This window comes from Homo sapiens, chromosome 17 (assembly GCF_000001405.40).
Source record: "Homo sapiens chromosome 17, GRCh38.p14 Primary Assembly".
NCBI classification, from domain to species: domain Eukaryota; kingdom Metazoa; phylum Chordata; class Mammalia; order Primates; family Hominidae; genus Homo; species Homo sapiens.
The window spans coordinates 29,351,132-29,359,273 of NC_000017.11; the positions used below are offsets into that span (position 1 = coordinate 29,351,132).

At 41.2% G+C, this 8,142-nt stretch overlaps 1 annotated feature.

Moving 5' to 3' along the window:
* Nucleotides 6,719–6,788: an enhancer, noted in NCBI's record as "active region_11972". NCBI's record gives its function as "activates an Ori minimal core promoter by ATAC-STARR-seq in GM12878 lymphoblastoid cells {active_cell/tissue: GM12878}" and the evidence as "EXISTENCE:reporter gene assay evidence [ECO:0000049][PMID:35858748]".

The window sequence follows — 8,142 nt, forward strand, 5'->3', positions numbered from 1 at the left end:
TTTTCTTCCAAGCCTGGTCTTCCGTTAGCTTTCCCATTCTTAGTAAATGACACTACTTCCACTTAGTTACTAAAAGCCACAGTCATCCTTGATTCTTTTCTTTTCCTCAATCTCCATTCCCTAATAAATCCATCAGCAAAGATAAAGTATATACCATGTTCCTTGGTATCTGTGGGGGACTAATTCCAGGTACCCCTTGGAAACCAAAATCCATGGATGCTCAAGTCCTCCATACAAAATGGCATAGTATTTGCATATCGCCTACACATATCCTCCCATATACTTTAAATTATCTCTAGAGTACATATAATACAATGTAAATAATTGTTATTTATAAGCACTGTTTACAGAGTAATGACAAGAAAAAAAATGTCTGTACGTGTTCAGTACAGATGCAATCATCCATTAAAAAAAAATTTCCATTCACAGTTAGTTGAATCCAGGGATGCAGAACCCACAGATATGGAGGGCCAACTGTATATGTCATTTGTTTATTCCCTCTTCTGGCCATTAATCCATGCTACCATGAACTCTTGCTTACTTCAGTGGCTTCATAACTTGTCTTCTTCTACTTTTGCCTCCCTACTGTCCATCTCCACACACCAGCCACCTTTTTTTTTTTTTTTTTTTTTTTCAGAGACAGGGTCCTCCTCTTTTGTCCAGGCTGAAATACAATGGCAAAATCATAGCTCACTGCAGCCTCAAACTCCTAAGCTTAAGTGATCCTCCCACCTTAGCCTCCAGAGTAGCTGGGATTACAGGGGCACACCACTATGCCTGGCTAATTTTAAAATTTTTAATTCTTATTTTAATTTTTATTTATTTATTTGTTTATTTATTTATTTATTTTTGAGACAGGGTCTGGCTCTGTCACCCAGGCTAGAGTACAGTGGCATTATCTCGGCTCACTGCAACCTCCGCCTCCCGGATTCAAGCAATCCTCCCACCTCAGCCTCCTAAGTAACTGGGACTACAGGCGCATACCACCACACCTGGCTAATTTTTGTATTTTTTTGTAAAGAAGGAGTTTCACCATGTTGGCCAGGCTGGTCTCTAACTCCTAAGCTCAAGAAATCTGCCCACCTCAGACTCCCAAAGTGCTGGAATTACAGGCATGAACCACCACACCTGGCCTAATTTTTAAATTTTTTGTACAGATGAGATCTCACTATGTTGCTGATCATAGGTGTGAGCACCAGTCTAGACTGGCCAGTCAGCGTTTTTGTTTGTTTGTTTGTTTTAAGACAGACTCTCACTCATTGCCCGGACTGAAGTGCAATGGTAAAATCATAGCTCATTACAGCCTCAAATTCCTAAGATAAAGTGATCTTCCTACCTTAGCCTCCCAAGTAGCTGAGACTACAAGTGCATGCTACCACACCTGGCTAATTTTTTTTTGTAGAGACAGGGTTTCTTCATGTTACCCAGGCTGTCCTTGAACTCCTGCGTTCAAGTGATCTGCTTACCTTGGCCTCCCAAAGTCCTGGGATTACAAGCATAAGCCACCACATCTGGCCCAGCCAGCCACCTTTTATTAAGCATGTACTTTGTGCTTTGCAGAACAATAAGTAATTTACATGTATCATCTAATTTAATCATCACACCTGTCTAAGAAATAGTTATTACTATTTAACACCCTTGCTTAAAAACCTATTTTCACTATTATAAAGATAACGCGTCTTCACAAATATATTTTTCCCTCTCCTGTTAAATTACTTTTCTTAGGATAAATTTTAGGAAGCAGAATTACTAGGTTAAAGAATATAAAGATTTTAAAGCCACCAATAACTCTTTTTCTATTCTTACTTGGAGGACTTGTCAGTTCTCTTTCTTTATATTTAATTTTTTACGGTGGTGGGGGGTGGTCCTCCATTTTCTGATGTCCTGTCCATGAGTAGATACATGTTCCTGGAAAATAGTCTAGAATAGTAGTTCTCAAGTTCAACTGCACATTACAATTACCTAGGGAGCTGTTAAAAATATCAATGCCAAGGACTCTAGATATTCTGACTTAATTAGTCTAGGGGAGCATGAGCATGGACTTTTTTTTTTTTTTTTTTTTTGAGGCAGAGTCTCACTCTGTCGCCCAGGCTGGAGTGCAATGGTGCCATCTTGGTTCACTGCAACCTCTGTCTTAAAAATGTCCATGCTTGGCCAGGTGCGGTGGCTCACACTTGTAATCTCAGCACTTTGGGAGGCCGATGCAGGCAGATCACTTGAAGTTAGGAGTTTGAGACCAGCTTGGCCAACACGGTGAAACCCCGTTCCACTAAAAGTACAAAAATTAGCTGGTCGTGGTGGCGGCTGCCTGTAATCCCAGCTACTTGGGAGGCTGAGGCAGGAGAATTGCTTGAACCCACGAGGTGGAGGTTGCAGTGAGCTGAGATTGCGCCATTGCACTCCAGCCTGGGCGACAAGAGCAAAACTCTGTCAAAAAAAAAAAAAAAGAATATCCTTGATGAAATAGAAAAAAAATATTGGTTTTATTAGATCCCTCAGAACATGTTTTTAATTATTTGGTATGACAAGCTATGTATGCATGAAGCACTTCTGTTGCATATCAAAGAATGATTGGTGGTTGTCTTGAGGAAAACCGTTTCTCTAATTCATTGAGCTATGAGCTGACCTTTTTCATTGACCACTATTTTTACCTGAAAAAACGACTAACAGACAAACTATGGCTATCAAAACTTGGGTATTTGGCTGAAATTTCCCCATAATGAAGAAAGTGAGCTTGCATGTCAAGAAAAATAACTGATAAACTGATATTGTTTCTTGCCAATGACAAAATTTGAGTTTTCAAACAAAAATTAGAATTTTGGAAAACTTATATCTACTACCATGAGCTTGACAGTGTCCCAATACTTAAAGATTTTCCTGATGATAATAAATGTGTTTTTTTTTGGGGGGGGGGACATCATATAATGAAATGTGTCAACATTTGGAAGATATGCATATCTCAAGGAATTAATATTTTTCAAATGACTAGGGCATATATTAAATCATGCATGGGTAAAAGATCCATTCAAAGAGAAAGACAGACCAGTGGATTTTATTTTATTTTATTTTATTTATTTATTTTTTTGAGATGGACTTTCGCTCTTGTTGTCCAGGCTGGAGTGCAATGGCAAGGTCTCAGCTCACTGCAACCTCTGCCTCCTGGGTTCAAGCAATTCTCCTGCCTCAGCCTCCCGAGTAGTTGGGATTACAGGTGCTCACCACCATGCCTGGCTAATTTTTGTATTTTTTTCAGTAGAGACAGGGGTTTTACCACGTTGCCCAGGCTGGTCTCGAACTTTTGACCTCAAGTGATCTGCCCACCTTGGCCTCCCAAAGTGCTAGCACTATAGGTGTGAGCCACTGCACCCAGTCCTAATGGATTTTAATGAAACAGAGGACAAAAAGTTCATTTAATAATGTTTCAGATTCTACATTGCAAATAACTTTTTTTTTTTTTTCTTTAAAGACATCAGATCTCACTGTGTTGCCTAGGCTGGACTCAAACTCCTGGGCTGAATTAATCCTCCCACCTCAGCCTCCTGAGTAGCTGGTACTATAAACCCGCACCACTGTGCCTGGCTGCAACCAACCTTTAAGAAATTACCATTTGTTGGCCGGGTGTGGTGGCTCATGCCTGTAATCCCAGAACTTCAGGAGGCTGAGGCAGGTGGATCACAAGGTCAGGAGTTCAAGACAAGCCTGGCCAACATGGTGAAACCCCGTCTCTACTAAAAATACAAAAAAATTAGCCGGGCGTGATGGGGCACACCTGTAATCCCAGCTACACGGGAGGCTAAGAGAGGAGAATCACTTGAACCTGGGAGGTGGAGGTTGCAGTAAGCCGAGATTGTGCCACTGCACTCCAGCCTGGGACAGGGTGAAACTCCGTCTCAAAAATGAAAAGAAATTACAGCTTGTTGCATTTCCATGTACTATCAAAGAATAACCACAATGGTCAGAAAAAAACTATCTAAAAACTTCTTCCAGCTACATATCTGTGTGAAGCCAGATTTTCTTCATATCCTTCAACTAAAACAACATATTGCAACAGACTGAATGCAGATGCATACATGAGAATCTATTAGCTAAAGCTGACGTTAAAGAAATTTGTAAAAATGTAAAACATTGACACCCTTCTCATTATATTTTTTGTTTTGGAAAATATAACTGTTTTTCATAAAAATATTTATGTTAATGTACAATAAGTTTGCTGTTATTTAGTTTTAAATTCTAGTACAGTAATTGATAATACACATATTCCACATAAACGAAAGCTCATTAGTTTTTAAGACTTCTTGGTTTGAGAACTACTACTCAAAATTTTTTGTTTGTTTTGAGAGAGGGTCTCTGTTGCTCAGACTGGAGTGCAATGGCACAATCATAGCTCCTGACTATAAACTGAACCTCCTGGGCAATCCTCCCATCTCAGCCTCCTGAGTGGCTGGGACTACAACACCTAGCTATTTTTTTTTTTTTAATTATTTTTAGTAGAGATAAGGTCTCGCTATGTTGTCCGGGCTAGTCTCGAACTCCTGAGCTCAAGTGATCCTTCTGCCTCAGCCTCCCAAAGTGCTAGGATTACAGGTATGAGCCACTGGGTCCCGCCTAGAAGTTTTACTAAATTTTAGAGGCCTAAAATCTGAAATAGTTAAGAACCACAGACCTTTGAAAAGGAATAGACGAACTGATTGCATATTCTCAGTTAAAAGCTTTTGAAAAGTATGAAATGGCAATGAGTTCTAGATTCTATTCCTGATAAGAACTTGCCAACAGCTCTGATATGCCAATTAACTGCTGACCCTTAATATTAATGGGTTTTAAACAACGCTTAGATGTTCAAATCCCAATTCCTTAATATGATATACAAAGCATCCTGTATAAACTGTGCTTTCCAAGAATTAACTGATTTAATTTGTGACAACTCTATGTAGTAGGTACTGTTACCATGTATGATTTGTACATTCTGTTCAACAAATGAATGAATACAATGAGTAAATAAAATTAAGAATTTTTTTTTTTTTTGACAGAGTCTTGCACTGTTGCCCAGACTGGAGTGCAGTGGTGCGATCTCGGCTCACTGCAAGCTCCGCCTCCTGGGTTCACGCCATTCTCCTGCCTCAGCCTCCCAAGTAGCTAGGACTACAGGTGTCCACCACCACGCCTGGCTAATTTTTTCTTTTTTTGTATTTTTAGTAGAGACGGGGTTTCACCGTGTTAGCCAGGATGGTCTCGATCTCCTGATCTCGTGATCCGCCTGCCTCGGCCTCCCAAAGTGCTGGGATCACAGGTGTGAGCCACTGCGCCCGGCCAAAATTAAGTAATTTTTATTTTTATTTTTTTGAGACGGAGTCTCGCTCTGTCGCCCAGGCTGTAGTGCAGGGCACGATCTCGGCTCGCTGCAGGCTCCGCCTCCTGAATTCAAGTGATTCTCCTGCTTCAGCCTCCTGAATAGCTGGGATTACAAGTGCGCACCACCATGCCTGGCTAATTTTTGTACTTTTTAGTAGAGATAGGGTTTCACCATGTTGGTCAGGCTGGTCTCAAACTCCTGACTTCGTGATCCGCCAGCCTCAGCCTCCCAAAGTGCTGGGATTACAGGCATCAACATGCCCGGCCTAAGTAACTTTTTTTTTTTTTTTTTGAGACTGAGTCTTGCTCTGTCGCCCAGGCTGGAGTGCAGTGGTGCAATCTTGGCTCACTGCAAGCTCCGCCTCCCGGGTTCACGGCATTCTCCTGCCTCAGCCTCCCAAGTAGCTGGGACTACAGGCGTCCACCACCATGCCCGGCTAATTTTTTCTTTTTTTGTATTTTTAGTAAAGACGGGGTTTCACCATGTTAGCCAGGATGGTCTTGATCTCCTGACCTTGTGATCCGCCTGCCTCAGCCTCCCAAAGTGCTGGGATTACAGGCATGAGCCACTGCGCCTGGCTAGTAATTTTAAAATCTAGATCCAAGTCCAGTTTAGAAAAGAGAAGCATTCTCAACTCCAGCTCTGTTCATTCAATTAATGATCACTTCCTGTCTTTTTCCTCATTATTTGCCTATCTGCAGTTTTCTTCTGTGTTTTTACTGCCACCTGCCTCTTCTCTGTTTCATCTCTTCAAAAGTCTCACTGTTAATTCCTTTCTTTCTTGGGATTTTAGATCCCTCTAAATCTGCATGCACCTTTTGAAAACAAATACGAACATCACAATCTTTACCAACTAGTCTCATAAGAGCTAACCTTCATGGAGTAATCACTATGTGATACATTCTTTACTGCATGACCTTACTTAGTCTTCATTGTACTACGGTACTATTTTTATCATCCCTATTTTACAGGGATGGGACAACAGAGGTTAACAGAACTAAAATAACTTGGCCAAATCTCACAGCTAGATAGTGGTAGAGCCAGGATTTGATTTAAACCTGTGTCTTTTCCTCCTACAGCTTTAATTAGAAATAATTTATGCATTATAAAATTCACCTGTTATAAGTGTACAGTTCAATGCTTAGTAAATTTATAGAGTTGTGCAACTATCACCACAATTCAGTTTTTAGAATATTTTCCTCACCCCAAAAAGTTCCCTTGTGCTCATTTGCAGTCAATTCCTGCTCCCAACCCTAGCCCCAGACAACTACTAATCAGCTTTCTGTCTCTATAGAGTTGCCTTTTGTGGAACTTACATAAATGGAATCCTACATTGCATGTAAATAGAATCTTTGTGTCTGGCTTTTTTCATTTAGCATGATGTTTTTGAAGTTCATCCATGTTGTATAGTGTGTCAGTCATTCATTCCTTCTTATGGCTGAACAATATTCTGTTGTACAAATATACTGTGTTTTGTTCCATTCACCATTTGGGTCGTTTCCACTTTTTGGCTATTATGAATAATGCTGTTGTGAACATTCACATACAAGCTTCTGTGTGGTCATATATTTTCATTTCTCTTGAGCAGTACCTAGGAGTGAAATTGCTGAGTCATAGAGTAAGTTTATGTTGAACTTTTTTTTTTTTCGAGATGGAGTCTCACTCTATCGCCCAGGCTAGAGTGCAGTGGCGCAATCTCGGCTCACTGCAACCTCTGCCTCCTGGGTTCAAGCAATTCTCCTGCCTCAGCCTCCCAAGTAGCTGGGACTACAGGTGCGTGCCACCGGGCCCGGCTAATTTTTTGTATTTTTAGTAGAGATGGGATTTCACTGTGTTAGCCAGGATGGTCTCGATCTCCTGACCTCGTGATCTGCCCGCCTCAGCCTCCCAAAGTGCTGGGATTAGAGGCTTGAGCCACCACTCCTGGCCTATGTTGAACTTTTAAAGAAACTCCAAAACTATTTTCCAAAGTGGCAGTATCATTTTATATTCCCACTAACAATGCATGAAGGTTCTAATTTCTCCATAACCTCATACACATTTGGCATTGTCGGTCTTTTTAATTATAACCATTCTAGTGAATGTGAAGTGGTATCTCTGTGGTTTCAGTTGGCATTTCCCTAATGACTAATGCTGTTGAATATCTTCTACTACATTTGTTAGCCATCCATATATCTTCTTTGGTGAGAACTCATGACTACAAAGTAAATGCCACTCAACCAATGTTTCCCAAACATGCCATACACATTCTTGCCTCTCTGCTTTTTATTTATTTATTTTTTTGAGACAGGGTCTCCCTGTATCACCCAGGCTGGAGTGCTGTGGTGCCATCACAGCTCACCGCAGCCTCAACCTCCTCGAGCAATCCTCCCACCTCAGACTCCCAAGTAGCTGGGACTCCAGGTGCCCGCCATCAAGGCTGGCTAATTTTTGTGTTTTTTGTAGAGACGGGGTTTCACCATGTTGCCCAGGCTGGTTTAAACTCCTAAGCTCAGGCAAACTGCCTGCCTTGGCCTCCCAAAAGGAGACCTCCCAAAGTGCTGAGATTACAGACATGAGCCGTCGTGCCTGGCCACCTCTCTGCTTTTAAGTATACTCTTCTTCTAATCTAAAATGCCCTGTTATTTTATGATCCAAATTTACCATTTCAAAAAATTTATCGGCCAGGCATGGTGGCTCATGCCTGTAATCCCAGCGCTTTAGAAGCCCAAGATGGGTGGATCACCTGAGGTCAGGAGTTCAAGACCAGCCTGGCCAACATGGTGAAACCCCGTCTGTATTAAAAATACAAA